The 16,212-nt window shown below is 44.7% G+C and overlaps 1 protein-coding gene across 79 annotated transcripts in view; it reads left to right on the top strand.

The window, feature by feature from the left end:
- SORBS1 (sorbin and SH3 domain containing 1) overlaps positions 1–16,212 on the top strand; it is a 249,599-nt gene that overhangs the window by 147,147 nt on the left and 86,240 nt on the right. For 78 of the 79 annotated variants that reach the window (NM_001384455.1, NM_006434.4, NM_001034957.3 and 75 more), the window contains 3 exons: positions 3,448–3,592; positions 8,078–8,107; positions 15,036–15,208. In NM_001384455.1, coding sequence (NP_001371384.1) covers positions 3,448–3,592; positions 8,078–8,107; positions 15,036–15,208 — 348 coding nt within the window. The remainder of the gene's footprint in view (positions 1–3,447; positions 3,593–8,077; positions 8,108–15,035; positions 15,209–16,212) is intronic. The other variant, NM_001419704.1, reaches the window with a different exon arrangement.

Raw genomic sequence — 16,212 nt, 5'->3', positions numbered from 1 at the left:
TGTGGCCTTTATGTTGACTGGCCATGCTTTTCACAGGCCAGGTCGGGGGTCGTGTGGTGAGCTGAGGAAAGCTAAGAATTATGGGGGAAAGCAACGGCAGGCGTGGTGGGTGCTACTTACCAGGGAGCGGGGAGATCTCGGGGAGGAAGCGATTCTCTGATTCTCTTGTTGACCTAGTGAGTAAATAAACTCTCTGTAGTATACAGAAATGACAGAGACTAGGATTTTTTTTTTTTTTTTTTTTTTTTTTTTTTTTTTGTGAGAGAGTTGGGTTTAAGTGAGCAAGTGGGTCTGAAAGCCCTGTACAAATGTTAGGACTTTTACCTCAAAAGGCAGGCAATTGCTAGGGCCCCTGAGGAGAAGGTCCCAGGAGCCTCTGTGACAAAACAGTGCCCCAGTGGTCACAGGAAGTCAAAGGGCCCTGCTGCCTCAGGTCCCATCCTGTGGGTGGGGGAATGAGTTCCCATCACAGCCGGGAAAGCCCAACTGCTTAGAGAAAAAGCTGAGTCAAAGTGCTTGGGTCTCCTTTTTCCTTAGGAGCCCTGGGAATTGAGAGAATCTGATAACTTCATTGCGAGTTGTAATATGGGAATACGTGAATCTACTCACAGGGCTTCGGGTTCAGTAGGATCGAGTGTAAAAGTTCCTGTTATGGAGCTTGACATAGAGAAGGTGCCTAGTGAATGTTAGCTATGTTGCTGAGGACTTACCCTGGCAAATGAGGGCCAGGGTCACTCAAAAGCAAGTAACTGGTTAGTTAACAATTCATCATTGAGTTTCTGCCGTGGTCTAGGCATTCTGCTAAGTACCCTGGGTACAACCATGAGTCAGGGTCTTGTTCTCAAAGGGATTTTTGGAGTAGGAGGTCACTTCTCAAGCTTTGTGTACATGGGATCATCTGAGGGTCAGGGAGGCTTGTTTAAATCGTCACCCTCAGGTTATACTCCTAGAATTTCTGACTGAGTGGGTCTGGAGAAGAGCCTAGGAATCTCACTTGGTAGCAAGTGCTCAGGGGTTTCAGATGCTGGGGTCCACACCCTACATTTTGAGATACAGTCATGTAGTGGGTCATGCAATTGGCTGATGGAACTAAGCGTTTACTGACATCCCTTTGTGTAAAGATGTATGCCTGCAAAACTGTTCCAAATGGCTTGTTAAGCTGAAGCCAGTCATGCAGAAATCAGGAAGGAAACTTTTCATTTGGCTTATTAGATAAATTATAATGAGGCATCAAACACATCAAAGCTGGGAACCGTTACATCCTGAGCTGGGGCCTGTTCTGAAATCTCTAGTGCTGTGCAGTGTAGTTAGGTCAGCACCAGGCCCAATGTGACCCACGGCCTTGGATATCCTTCTAGCTTTGAATTTCGCAGCTCAGTCCCATTGAAGAAAAATGCTAGATGTTTCCCTGGTCTATTCCCGTCTACCTTCAGCTGAACTTAGAATTTAGAAGCCACTCTTGTTTTGGGGAGTTCAAGCATCTTCCCTTTGACACAGATTATGTTTGCCTGGAGTAGCAGGTAAGGTGTCTTATGTTTAGTGTCCTCATAGACCATTGTGAGTAGTTTGATTGTGTATTCTATAATTTATTTGTGTAGACCTAGGTTTTCATATCGAGTTGGTTTTAGGTGTACCAGGACAGATTCGTTGGGACAGGGTCCTCAGTTTCTCAAACCTGACTAATCAGCCTGGTGTAGACCTCCCAGAAGGACCTCAGTTTGGCCTGATAGCTTCGGGTTTGGCCCTGGGTAACAGAGGTGAAAAAGGAAACTACTTGGATTCCTCTTCCTCCTCTGTCAAGAGGAGGAGCCTCTGTGGATGGTGTCTGAGCTGTGAGCTGATGCCTGCTCCATCTGTAGCTAGTTGAGAGAAAGAAGGAAGAATAAAAGTCATGTTAATTGATTTGAGTTATTTTAATCAATAGCTGTTTTTGTGATGTTCCAGAAATAAGACACAAAATAAAATCTGTAAAGTGCTTAATGCTCATATGATCCACCCAAACATCACATTAGGCATTTATACTTTAAAGAGCTGTATGCCTGATATTTTGTGTTTCTTGGATGCATTCAGGCAGTTTTTAATGATATGTCATTTATCATAATTATATCACTTTGGAGATAAATTAGGAAAAGTGTAGTTATTTTTCACTTTCTAAATGGAGGAATCAAGGTGAGGCACTTTTGTATAAAATCATACTGTGCTTCTCAAGTCTTGAGAAAAGGTTTTATTCATGACATTGAGCTGCCCCTCATAACTAAATAGCGGCGGCTATTTAGTGGACTTTCAGAAGAGATAGACTGACCTAGGCAGTGTTGTGAAGTTCCTACTGTGTGTTGGGAGCTGTCCTGGGTGCTGATGCCCATATCCTCTTTTGATAAGCATTTGTTTTCTTGCTACAAACATTTGCTCAGACACAACATTGCTGAAAGATCCCACCTGTCAGTCACGTGACATTTACTAGCACCTGCTATCTGCAGGGCATTGGGCTAGGTGTGAGTGAGGGGGTGGCCCTCATCTTGTGGGTACGTTCACAGGAGTTGATCTTTGATTATTGCTTCAAGATAATTATTGCCTCAAAAGTAACTATTTAAAATCTTGTTCTTAAAGCCTTTTAAGAAGAGCATCCTCAATTTATGGTTTATAAACTCAAAAATAGAAATGTATAGATATCATGAAGGAAACTGTCTAAATATTCTTAGTACCTTTTGGGGTCTTATTTTGTTTTAAAAGACTGGCATTATCCCCAATATGCAGATTATAATGTTAGTATTAATAATTTTATTGGTATTTCTGGCAGAGACCTCAGGTTTTTAAAGTCAGGATTCTCACAAGTCTTAGGGATCTTTGTCACTTTAATATTAGAGTGAAAAAAATGTCACAGTAGGATAGGATAATCTCCAAATCTCAGAAGCAAGCATCAGTAAAATTGCTCGGTGATGCTGATGCTAAGAGTAGCTTTCTGAAAAAACTGTTGCTCAACTCCTCCCTGTTCTTACATTGATGTCTTCTTGTCCTCACATTGTCTTACATTTCTCTGTACAGTGTACTAAACTTCCCTGATTTTTCCCAATTAAACCAGCTCTTGTTCTTGGATCGCATTTGGAATTGCATGGGTTTTGCATGTTATTCTACTTGGATTTGAATTTGGTTTTTCAGTAACCAGATTGACCCACAACTGTTAACAGGTGGACCTAATGAATGATGTTGCTGAGACTTGCAGTAACATTCACCTTCTCTCTCTCCTCCGCCCCATACTAATACCAACAAAGAGGATAAGCATTCCGGCTTAAACTTCTAACTGGAATTAATGATACGATGTATCTCATTGATTGCATTTCTTTTTATAATTAAGATCATTGTAAAGCTTTAAATTTCTTCTTTTTAAAAAACATTAACACTAGCTTTTTATATTTACAGTTAGTTACATTGTTTGTTTGTTCGTTTCAGGATTCCAGTCCTCTACTAAATGAAGTTTCTTCTTCCCTTATTGGAACTGATTCCCAAGCCTTTCCATCAGTTAGCAAGCCTTCATCCGCCTATCCCTCCACAACGATTGTCAATCCTACTATTGTGCTCTTGCAACACAATCGAGGTAAGAGAGGCTTGTGCCCCACTCCCAGCCCACTGGAATCAACATAGCTATTCCATGATACTTGGGTCAGAAATTCTGTTATTTCACAGAAATTTTCACAAATCCCATTGTTTCCCAAGGCCATTTGCCCCAGTTTACTCACTCTCATGGCCCATAAAATAAATCCCAGCAGACAGACAGAGGCCCCTGATCTGAGGTGATATCAGGTGTCTGAATAAGTAAGCTGGGTTCGTTCCACTTCTTGGGTGTTCATGATTGTCTTCTTCAAATCGTAACACCAAAAAAAAGGAGAAAGGAAAAAGTTTGTGTCTCTTGATGGTAATAGAGATTTAACTTCGAAAATCTAGGTACAATAATACCTCTTTTAAGTAGTATCTTAAATGATTTATTTTTTTGACATAATGAAATTTAGAGAGAGCAGAATTTTGAGTATCAAATTTAAAAAAGAAAACATATTGTGTAGACAATTTTCTGGAATGTAAAACACGTTTTTGTACCTTGAAAACAGAGACTATTGAATTTTTCTTGAAGACTCACTGGCCTTCATTCTTGCCAGCTGTTTGTCTCTGTACTATGTGGCTCTAGGCAGCTCTGCTTAGAGTTTTCATGTTTGTTTTCTGTAGTGTCTCTGACTGCTTCTGGTTGGTTTTTCTGCTTCTCTGAAAAGCAGAGAAGCTTTGAGTTGGGGTGAAGCGGAAGTTCTTTGGGTATATGTTGACCCTTCTGCTTTAAAATTCCAGACGATGATTCTAAATCCCAAGTTTTCCTTTTTGGAATTCCATACAGGAATAAACTTTGTCTTTACAAAAGTCCTTTGCAGCATGAAATGTAAAGTTTTCAAGCTGTTTCCTCATGTAGAAAGGGCTTGTTAGTCTGAATTTCTGATAACAGTGGAGGTTTAATTATTTTGTTCAGAGCTCACGTCTTCCTTTTGACTCTGTGCTCTCTGACTTCACAGTTTTCCTCCACTCCTCCCCCTCCCCCTTCCTCTCTGCATTAATTTGAATGAGAATGGGACTGGAGTCTATTTTTAATTGTTTTCCTTACTAAATAGAGTTTTTCTGTTTCCTGCTTCTAACTTGAAAAGCAGATGAATAAAACATTTTCTTTCACTTCAGATCTTTCCACTAAAATCTTAAGGTTGTTTTAGTAGTTTTGTATTTTTTTCACTATGTGTGGCTCCTGTATTAATTTTCACCCATGAATCTGGGTTCTTAATAAAAAGGGCCCCAGCTCCCACACGGAACCATGCAGGAGCCCATTCTCCTTCAGCGGTGCCATGCCCCTTACTGGCAGTGGCTCTCCTTGCCCAGAAAGTGTCTGTAATGTGGGACAAAGTGAAATTTTGTTTCTCTGAACTTCCTTGTGACTCATATTTAAAAAAAAAAAAATTCAGTCAAACAGAATTAAGTTAGTTCCCAGAAGGACAGGCAGTTTCTTTAAAAATGGGATTTATTCCCAAGGCAACTTGGTTTTTGGGAAATGCCAAGTGTAATGTCAGCTGCTTCTGCCAAGTCCCTCTGATGACACCTAGTGAGACATCTTTGGGCACAGAAATGCCTGTAGTTCCTTTTTGTTTCTTCCTTGAATAGATGGATTCCTTTTATTTACCCAAATGCCTTTGGTTCTTGCCTTTCTCTGTTGTCCAAGTCCTGCCCTTGGGTTTAAAAATCAGAATTGTGCAGCCTGAGACACACATCCTTCAGAAAAGGATACAAGTAATGACATTCATTTTTTGGAATTAAATGATAGATTTCCATAAAGAGCAAAACCATATGTTCACTAAGCAGGTGGGGCAGGAAGCATCAGGAAGAAGAGAAGAGCCTCACTGGCCCAGCCCCGTATTACTAATCATAAATGGGGTTTAGGTCAAGTGTTTTTGGCATTGCTTTGGAATTTGCCTAACCTGGCAGCTCTGCTTTGCTTCATAAACAGTACCCATAAAAATAATTTCTTAATTATTGCAAAGTCTCCTGAGGGAATAACTTTACTCCACTTCTGGAATTCTAGTTTTGTCATCCTAAAAAATGCCTCCCTCCCTGCCCCCCCCCCCCTTTTTTTTTTTTTTTTTTTTTTGCCTAGACTGTCCCAGGGCATAGTGTGGCAATAATCCTGTCTCTCCAAGCCAGCTTACCCCTACTAGAAACAGAGGGGCACTGAGCCTCTGGCCTGGTACTGATGGTTGTGAACAACACAGCCCTTTCCCCTTCTTTCCTGAGTTTTCACACCACATGGGTATGAAGACAAATCGCTTACCATCTGTCTGGGAGGGAGGCTTTGAATCAGAAAACTCTCAGGATGAAAAGAGGTGCGTGGGTCCCCTTGCTTAGGGCTTCTCAGTCTATGTGCGTCGGATCCTGAGAGTCTTGTTAACTTGCAGGTTCAGCCTCAAGAGGTTTGGGGTGGAGGAGACGAGATTCTACATTTTCAGCAAGCTTGCTAGGCATACCAGTGCCACTGGCCCACCGACCACATTGAGAACTAGAGCTCAGAGGTTCCCAGACTTACGGACACATGAAGCAGTCTAGGGATCACCCTAGGGTTTTTCATTCTAATGCTTTAAAATAACACCACTAGAAAGTGGCCACTGTTACCTGTGTTGCATGTCATCCTATGAAAGAAAGGCTATTTCACACCTCAAAACTGGAGACAACATAGTCTTTTTTTTTTTTTTTTTTTTTTTTTTTGAGACAAGGTCTCACTCTGTTGTTGAGGCTAGAGTGCAGTGGTGCAGTCATGGCTCACTTCATCCTCAACCTCCCAGGCTCAGGTGATTCTCCCACCTCAGCCTCTCGATGCCAGTAGTTGGGACCACAGGCGTGTGCCACCACACCTGGATAATTTTAAAATATTTTTTGTAGAGACGGGGTTTTACCATGTTGCCTAGGCTAGTCCTGATCCCCTGGGCTCAAGGGATCTGCCTGCCTCGGCCTCCCAAAGTGCTGGGATTATAGGCATGAGCCACCGTGCCTGGCCAACGTGGTCTTTTTCATTTATTTATTTATTTATTTTTTGAGGCAGGGTCTTTCTATGTCACCCAGGCTGGAGTTCAGTGGCACGATCTTGGCTCACTGCAACCTCTGCCTCCCAGGTTCAAGTAATTCTCATGCCTCAGCCTCTGGAGTAGCTGGGATTATAGGCGTGTGCCACCACGCCTGGCTAATTTTTGTATTTTTTAGTAGAAATGGGGTTTCGCCATGTTGGCAACATGATCTTTTAAGTGGAATACATTCACTTCTGCCAGCTGGAGCTCAGCAGCCTTCAGTGTAGTGTGTGGGAACCGTAGGTCCCCTTAGTACCAATAGGGCCCTTTGACATAACAGACAAGGAAACTGAGGCCGAGAGGTTTAGTGAATTGGCCATTGTCATCTGAAAGTTGCTGGCAGAGCTGAGGCCAGAGCTGCACTGGGCTTCTGCATGTTCAGCCAGTACGAACCTCATCCATGTGGCAGAGGTGGCCAGGCACCGCTTCCCAGGCTGTGAGCTCCTGAGCTGCTCGCTGTTTACTTCTGGTTCACACTGATTGTAGCAGGAGGGTGGGAACGCAGCCAAGGGGAATGATGACAGTACCCACGGGTTGGCAAATGTTCTATTTTTATCTATGTGGCTGCTTTATATTTAGCGGCTGTGGAAGGTAAAGGTCATTTTTGTACTCTCATCTCATAGCACGTACACATTAGGACTCCACAAAGGAGATGTGGCTTCCCTTCCACATGAGTGCCCAGGATGGTGAGAAACCAATAACCCTTCAATGCCAAGGACCAGCAAGGTCTTGATGACTAGAATTGGAATGAACTCTGGACTAGGAGTCAGGGATCCAGGTTCTAGATCCAGCTGATTTTCAGTGTTATCTTGGGCGATTTGTGCCCCTTATCTGAAGTTTCTCGGCCATTGCTGATTTTTTAAGGATTTTTCTTGTACTCCGGACAAGCCAGATTACTATAGTGACTAAGGCCAGGCTTTCGTTTCCTCCTCTGTACAATGGGAAAGAATAATCGTACCCAACTACTAGAGTTGTTGCAAAGTTTACAAGTGTTATTTGCAAAAGCGCTAAAACAGCGCCTGGCATTTAGCAAGCTCTCAGGAGACGGTCACTGTCATGGTTGTGATTATAATTACATTTCCCTCAAAAGGTACCAAGACTGGGGTCATATAAGGCCTTGCTCACTTGAAGCTGGAGGGTTGGATGGATTCCCTTCTATGATGGAATCATCTTGAGATAAGATGTAAACAGCTAGAAAATTGTGGCAGTCCCCTGAATCCTGGTGTAGATCTGGAAGCGGGGCAGGCTGGGAGACACCACACTGGCATAATGGGAGCCACGCTAATACCCCTGCAGTCAGCTGGCTGCATGCACATTGTACCATCTAAGTCCAGAGGACAGTGAGGACTCAGGGTTGAGATCCTAACGAGTTATGCCAGGGCTTCTTGGTCTTACTATGTGCTGTATAAATCTTACTTACACTGTGTGTTCTTTTATCACAGAACAGCAAAAACGACTCAGTAGCCTTTCAGGTAGGTGAGAAATATTTATTTATGTGTTAATCCCTGTTCCTGTTGAAACCGTCTTCCGGTCACCGCCCGATATTCAATCAGCAATATCTTCCAAGATCCTCTGATGTCTTGGGGAGACTCTTTGTTGCTGGACTACCAAGATGATGAAAATAGGCATAGTTCCTGCCTCCCTGGAGCTTGCAGGGTGGTGGACAGACCAGACCAGTGAGCCACACTAGTAAACATGTCCCATGGAACTGTGATAAGGGCCTTGATGGATAAGAACAGGATGTTCTGGGTTAAAAAGAACCAGGAGTCCAGCTTTAGATGCAGTGTTCATGGCAGGCCTCTCTGAAGAGGTCATCTTTCTGCTGCTTCTGTCTCCCTTCTGGATGTGAGGAGTCAGGGGTTGGGAGATATGGGCAAGTTCTCTCCTTTTTGGGTGGCAAGCCCAAATGCCAGTAGATGCCCCTGGGGTGGTGGGTCCAGGTGAGAACCTTCCGACCAGCAGTGCCCAGAAGACAGTGTGAGAAAACTGCTTCTTGAATTTGAGCAGGCATCAGAAATTCCTGGAGAGCTTGTCGAAACTCAGATTCCTAGGCCATCCCCCTAGAGATTTGGATTTAATGGTGGGTATGAGTAAGAATTTGCATTTCTTTTTCTTCCCTTTTCTTTTCTTTTCTTTTTTTTTTTGATACAGCATCTTGCTCTGTCACCCAGACTGGAGTGCAGTGGCACAATCATAGCTTACTGCAGCCTTGAACTGCTGGGCTCATGTGATCCTCCTACCTCAGCCTCCTGAGTAGCTGGGACTACAGGTGTGCACCACCATGCCCAGCTAGTTTTTTTTTTAAAGTTTTTTTGTAGAGCTGGAGTCTCACTATGTTGCCAAGGCTGGTGTCAAATCCTGACCTCAAGCAATCCTCCTCCCTCAGCCTCCTAAAGTTCTGGGATTATAGGCACCAGCTACTGTGCCTGGCCAAGAGAATGTGCATTTCTGCCCAGCTCCCTGGTGATGCCAATGCTGCCCTCTGTGCTGACCGCACTTGAGTGTGGCAGGTGGCAAGAGTTGACAATGGTGGGGAGTGACTGCAAATATAATCAGACATATACAAATATAATTAGCTCACCCTTTGATAAAGTGTGTAGGATTGGGACCATGTCAGAGTAGGGAGGGAACCCAGGAAGGGGAATGTGTAGCTATTTCCTTGTGGCTTCCTGTAGCCATTCTGCTTTGAATCCTGGGTCTGGTGCTGCCTCAGGCAGGTTATCTAAGTCTCTGGGCTTCAGTTTTCTTACTATCAAGTGAGGAAAGCTGTAGTGCCTCCCAGGTTGTATGACGATCAGATGAGATTCCGCTCATTAACAGCTCAGCACTGAGCTGCTGCTTAATAGATGCATGACTTAATAGATGTGCATTCCTGTTACCAGGCGGCGCTCTGTGGGTTCACTTACCATTGTATTCAGGGCTTCCTTTGTACCCTGCACTGCACGGGGCTCTGAGGCTACATCAGGGAACTGTGCTGCCCTTGAGCTGCTAATAGTGTGGCGCAAGAGTGTGTAACTTTTCTTTGTTAATGGACTCCTTGAGAGAAGCTATTGAAGGCAATAGATTGATTCTAAAAAAAAAAAAAAAAAAGCCACACGTGTAAACATGTGCACATGATTTCTGTGGATTTGCACACACTCATGAATTTCAGGGTTCAGAATCACTGATTGGTGGATAACAAAAGCCACTGTTTTCTGAACAGCTGCTACATGATTTCTGTGCAACTTCATGCCACTGCTGTTCTGTGATTGGTGGCGAGCCTGGGTGGGGAGGACATGGGGTTCTCACACCCTCTCAGCCTTATCAGGACTTGGCTCTGAGACCAAGACAGGCTGTGGTTGACCTCAAGGTGTCCTTGGCTGTCCCTCCTCCAGCTGCCACTCTCCAGCCCACCTCATTCTCTGGCCCCAGCCGAGGTTGCTAAGAGTGGTGGCTCTGAAAAAAAAAGGTGGCTCCTGTGGGCTCCTTCCTGTTGGTGGGAATTTGAAAGAAGGGTAGAATAGATAAAAAAGGCCTCCAGCCATACGTTAGGAGATGCAGAGTTTGGTCCTAGCTCCTTCTTCTTGGAGCTGTGTGTTTCTGTGTGAGTGACTTCATCCCTCTAAGCCAGTTTCCTCATATGGGAAACAAGGGTGGTAATCCTTGCCCCAGCCTGGAGGAGGTGTTATTGTGACAGGAATGGGGAGGATGTTTTGTGCATTGAGAAAAGACATGTAAAAATTTGAGGGTGGGCCGGACGCAGTGGTTCATGCCTGTAATCCCAGCACTTAGGGAGGCTGAGGCAGGTGGATCACAACGTCAAGAGATGGAGACCATCCTGGCCAACATGGTGAAAACCCGTCTCTACTAAAAATACAAAAATTAGCTGGACATGGTGGCACGTGCCTGTAGTCCCAGCTACTTGGGAGGCTGAGGCAGGAGAATCGCTTGAAACAGGGAGGCGAAGGTTGCAGTGAGCTGAGATCGTGCCACTGCACTCCAGCCTGGTGACAGAGTAAGACTCTGTCTCAAAAAAAAAAAAAAACAAATGAGGGTGGCTCCACCGTGCTGGCAGCTCAGGCTTATTCCTTGGCTCTAAAATAAGACTGATGCTATCGCTTTCTCTGAGTTTTGGGACAGATCTGCTGATGATGTTTGATAGAGTGGGGCCTAAAGTAGGTGCTCACTAAATATTAGTTTATGCTTTAAAAGAAGTAGTACAGCTTTGTTCAGGAGCTCCTGAAAGAGAGAGGGCTGGCTGGGTTGGCACTCTCTAGTCTCTTAGAGCAAGTAAGGCTTAGCCATCACCTGTGGGGACGGGACTCCAGGGCTGCCAGCCTCCCTCTCTGTAGCAGATTTTTGTTGAGTCTCCATGAGGCTTGATGTTCAGGGAGAGTCATCTGGGAATGAAGCCTACATGGTGTTCTCAGGTACCTCTCAGTCCCCTTGGGGAGATGGATGGGATAATAAGATAAGGGCTGGGAGAGAGAGGCTGGCATAGGGTGTAGAGAGGCCATCGTTCTTCTGCAGAGAAGTGTGAGCATTGCTGTAATCCTCAGTCACCAGCTCTCAGTGTGAAGAAAAGGGAAGCTATCCCACCTCCTTCAAACAGAGGCCCCATCTGAGGTTATCAATATTGTCATTTATTTAGTGGCCCAGAACCTTCCATTTTAAAGCACAGTATAAAACTAGAAGGAGGCTAGATTTGCAGTGGCTCACACTTGTAATCCCAACATTTTGGAAGGCCAAGATGGGCAGATTGCTTGAGCTCAGGACTTTGAGACCAGCCTGGGCAACATGGTGAAACCCCGTCTCTATAAAAAAAAAATACAAAAAATTAGCTGGGGCCAGGCGCAGTGACTCACACCTGTAATCCCAACACTTTGGGAGGCAGAGGCAGGCAGTTGGGAGGCAGAGGTGGGCAGATTCCTTGAGCCCAGGAGTTTGAGACCAGCTTGGGCAATATGGCAAAATCCCATTTCCACAGAAATACAAAAAAACTAGCCAGATGTGGTGGCGCACACCTGTAGTCCCAGCTACTTGGGAGGCAAAGGTGGGAGGATCACCTGAGCTCAGGGAGGTCAAGGCTGCAGTGAGCCATGATCATGCCACTGCACTTCAGCCTGGGTAAGAGAATAAGACCCTGTGTAATTAGAAAAAAAAAAAAAAAAGACTAAGAGGAAATGCCCCCAGGATGTCATGTGAAGGATCAGCATTTTCCTACTGAGAAAATAGCAAGCCCTCATTGTAATATGGATGTCAATACCTGGCCCTGTCACCTGCATGGTACAGTTAAGTGTCACTTTGGGTTTTCATTATGTAAAGTGACACTTTTTCTTCAGGGGCTCTCTGTATATTGAAATCCACTCAGTGATGAGTCACATGACCACAAGCTTTCAAGTAAAACAATTCAGGGCTAAATTTTGTAGATCAAAAGGACACTGGCAGCTTTAGGAGAAATCCATGGACTATCAGCCTGATTTTTTCAGTCAAGTGTGATTGTTGTTAGAGTCACCTGCCTTGACCCTGAGTATGGCATGTCTGTGATCCTCACCATGATCTTAAAGCACCATGTAAGACTGAGCTTGAACTCAGCCTCATCTGCTCCTTTCTGCTCACATTCAACAGAAGGCCTTTCCAGGTGGGAGGAGAATGTTCAGCAGAGCCACATTAAGGGTAGACTTGGGTAACTCAAAATCCCTCTACACTTCCAGGCTTCCTGCCAAATCCTTGGCCTTGCATTGCAATTTTCTGGGAGCATGAGAACTCATTCCATAAAGCCAATCTGTTCTTAACATCCTTTGACATTGATGGTGATGATGCCAGGGATCAGGCTTTCTGAAGCACTTACCAAGCCTTGAAATCATTTGGATGTGGGCAGTCACGACCCCATGGAGGAGAATGAAAGTTGTAAAACCTGAGCATGCTGGAGTCATTGTTTCCCCCACTTCTACAGCGTCTCCTCCACTTACAGACATCTCTGACTTTGTCACAACTTTGCATGTGTCCTCACATTCTTCCTTTTCACCCGAGTGTAGTCCCCCAGCCAGCAGTCTGCACCTGTTCCTTTCTTAAAGACGAGAACCTGTCCATAGTCAATCAATAAGCAGGTTTTAACTGAGCAATTACTAATTGCCACAGCACATCTTGATGCCCTTCATCCTTACCTCATGGGCCTCATTCTCACTGACAGGATTTTAGGCTCCCTTGGCCTAAACTTTTTTTTTTTTTTTTTTTTTGAGACAGAGTCTTGCTTTATTGCTGAGGCTGGAGTGTAGTGGCATGATCATGGCTTACTGTAGCTTCGAACTCCCAGGCTCAGGAGATCCTCCCAACTTAGCCTCCCAAGAGCTGAAGCAACAGGCATGTGCCTGGCTAATTTTTTAATTTTTTGTAGCGATGGGGTCTCGCTATGTTGCCCAGGCTGGTCTTGAACTCCTAGGTTCAAGCAATCCTCCTGCCTCAGCCTCCTGATATGTTGAGAGGCATGAGCCACGGCACCCAGCCAGCTTAAACCTTTTTGTCCCTAATCCTTTGACCTCTTGAATTACCATCTAGTACATTCCTTCCTCTGTGCTGAACTCCCCACTCACTCCCCCAACTTCCTGCTTACACCTTCAACCCTCTGTGCAATCTGGCACCCACCCCCACTGCCCTCCTGAAGTTGCTCCCTCAGAGTGTTCCTGTGACTTCTCTCTTGCCTAATCTAATGCCGCCTCCTCCTCTGCTTCAATTTCTGGGGTTTTTTTTTTTTTTTCTTTTGAGACATTTAACCACCCACTTCTTGGAGTTCTGTCTTCCCTGGTTCAGTGGCACCTTGTGTACTTTTCTGGTTCATCTCCTGTCCCTCGGATTACTTTGCATCACTTTGGGGATTCTTTTGCCTTGCAGCTATAACTGTGGTGCCCTTCCATGCATGACTTTAGCGCTTTACTCTGGCCTTGCTTCTGTCCACCACTGAGCTCTGCCATCTCCCTGGCGTCAGCCATCACTTTTGGGCTGATGCCTCCAAAGTTGCACTCCTGTTAGGGTGTCTCACCTGGGCCCCTTCATAGTTCCTCTAGGGATCTCTAGGGCATTCCTACTTGAGTATCTTGCTGTCTTCTCAAAGTTACCATAGTCCATATGGAAGCAGCCATTTCTCCCTCCCATTCCTAACCCAATTCTAACTTCTCCATTTGGCTTAGGCCAGGCTTCCAGACTTGAAACCTTGGTACCATCTTTGAAAGAGGCAAGACAGGATGTGGTTCAGAGAGGACTGCTAGAGTCAGGTGGACATTAGGCCACATCACAGCTTGGCTATGAGCTGGTTGTGTGGCCGCAGGCAGGGTACTTTAACTTCTCTGTGTATTGATCCTTTAACTATTAAAAAAAAAAGGTGATAATAGTTTCTTCCTCATAGATCTTTGGGAGGATAAAATGAGAGAACGTAAATGAAGAGTTTATTGCATTGCTTGGCACATAATTAGCTCAGTAGTCCAGAGGCCCCCAAGCATTTATTTAAGCTGTTCCTCTGGAGCACCCTTCGCTTCCTGTGAGTCTGATTGGCTTCTCTTCTGAGAATCGGCCTTTGTCACCCTGCATTCTCATTGCTGGCTCACTTGGTTTTTCTGCCCACTAGACTGTAAGCTCCCTGAAGGCTAAGATTCTGGAATGCTCACCTTCATGTCCACAAGGCAGAGCACAATGTCTGCCCAATAAATAAATGTCATAGCTTGGAAGCCAGATTCTATTAAGTAATTTTATAATCTTAGGTCATATGTGGTATCTTTGTTAGTGCTCTATATCTTCCAGTCTTGAACAAAAATAATCTATAATGTATACTTAGCAATGTACAGCTTCCTGAACACTTTGGCATAAGTTATCCTGATAAGTCCTCTCACCACATTGCTGTGAGCTTGCCAATAGAAGTGTTATCCCTGTTTTTGGATAGGAAAACTGAGGCATGGAAAAGTTAAGTGACTTCCTCAAGAGGAATCGAAAACTTTCAAGTAATGTTAGCCCCATCCTGTGGTTCTACCTGTTCCTTAATTTCTAGAACAGTCAGAACTACTCAGTTGACCAGAGCACGATGTGCATACCTCTGCAAAGCTCTGATCACACTGTTGGCAAGGCTTTTTTTTTTTTTTAAGGACCAGATGATAAATATTTTAGACTTTGCAGGCCATATGGTTTCTGTCACAGCTACTCAACTCGGCCATCGTAGTGCAAAAGCACCCATAAATAATATGTAAAGGAATTGGCATGGTTGTGTTCCAGTAAAATCAGCCCATGGGCCAAAGTTTGCTGACCCCTGCTCTAAACAGAACTAATTCCAGTTGAGAATTAGCAGACACGCTTCCCCCCAGCTAGCCTGTTCAGGAGCGTTTTGTTTTGCAGCTACCAAAAGAGCTTCAGCTAACAATTGCTTTTCATTTCCAGATCCTGTCTCAGAAAGAAGAGTGGGAGAGCAGGACTCAGCACCAACCCAGGAAAAACCCACCTCACCTGGCAAGGCTATTGAAAAAAGAGCAAAGGATGACAGTAGGCGGGTGGTGAAGAGCACTCAGGACTTAAGCGATGTTTCCATGGATGAAGTGGGCATCCCACTCCGGGTATGTATATTGACTTAGAGGTCCTTCTTAGGCTTCATCTTAAGCTGTGACAAGTGTACACTCTGAGTACATGTGAACCCCATCACACCATCGTCTCTGTAAGCCCCATGAGTGCCAGATCCCCCAGAAGCTATGCTCCAGACTTGGTGTACAACAGCTTTTCCCAAAGTGGGTGTTGGATGTTATAAGTCCTATGAATAAAGGGTTTCGTGGTCAAGTAAATGTGAGGAAAAGCTGGGTGGACCAAGTCAGAGAGATTTCTCTGCTGTAGAACTTTTCAGAGGCTTTGAGTATGTGAGTGTTCTAGGGACAATGTTATGGGCAGTCTTCATTATTGTTCTGTGTGGAGCATGTTGAGAAATTCCTGGTCCAGGGTAAGAGAATCCTGGGGAGAGTGTGAGGCCCAAGGTCCCTTTTGACAGGTTCAGGAAGATCTCCCTGGATGGGAGATCACATGTCATCCAAAGTGAGTAGGGAACACTAAGGGAACCTCAGAATGGATTCCGCCAGCCAAGCCTCCAGGACAGAGCAGGTCTCATGGCATCCCTGACCCAGCTCTCCCCGGCAGCACAGGCCTGCCAGTCCTGCAGGCCCTAAGGAATTCCAGGGAACAGGCTCCAATGGGCAAGAAACATTTAACATAAAGCTAGGCAACTTTTGGAACTGGATTTGGGTGAATTCCATTCTTTTCCATGTGTCTACTAGACCATTGCCTGCAATATGTTCCACTGTGATTTCCATTTAACAAATATGTCCCTTTGGAAGAGGCCAATAGAAACCACAGTGGACTAAGCCTCAAAATAACTCTTCTCTGGTTCTAAGTAGTAATATAGAAGGAGAGTTATTCCTAAGAGAAATCACAGCTACCATTTGCTGAGTACATTATCTCATTTAAGCATCACTCATCCAAGTGAGTAATGGATACTAATATCATTTCCATCTTATAGATGAGGAAATGGGGACTCAGGGATTTGTTACTCATCCAAGATTGCACAGCTTGTGGG

The sequence above is a fragment of the Homo sapiens genome, chromosome 10 (assembly GCF_000001405.40).
Source record: "Homo sapiens chromosome 10, GRCh38.p14 Primary Assembly".
NCBI classification, from domain to species: domain Eukaryota; kingdom Metazoa; phylum Chordata; class Mammalia; order Primates; family Hominidae; genus Homo; species Homo sapiens.
The sequence above is the reverse complement of the archived record's forward strand: the minus strand, read 5'-3'. Positions and strand labels throughout refer to the sequence as shown.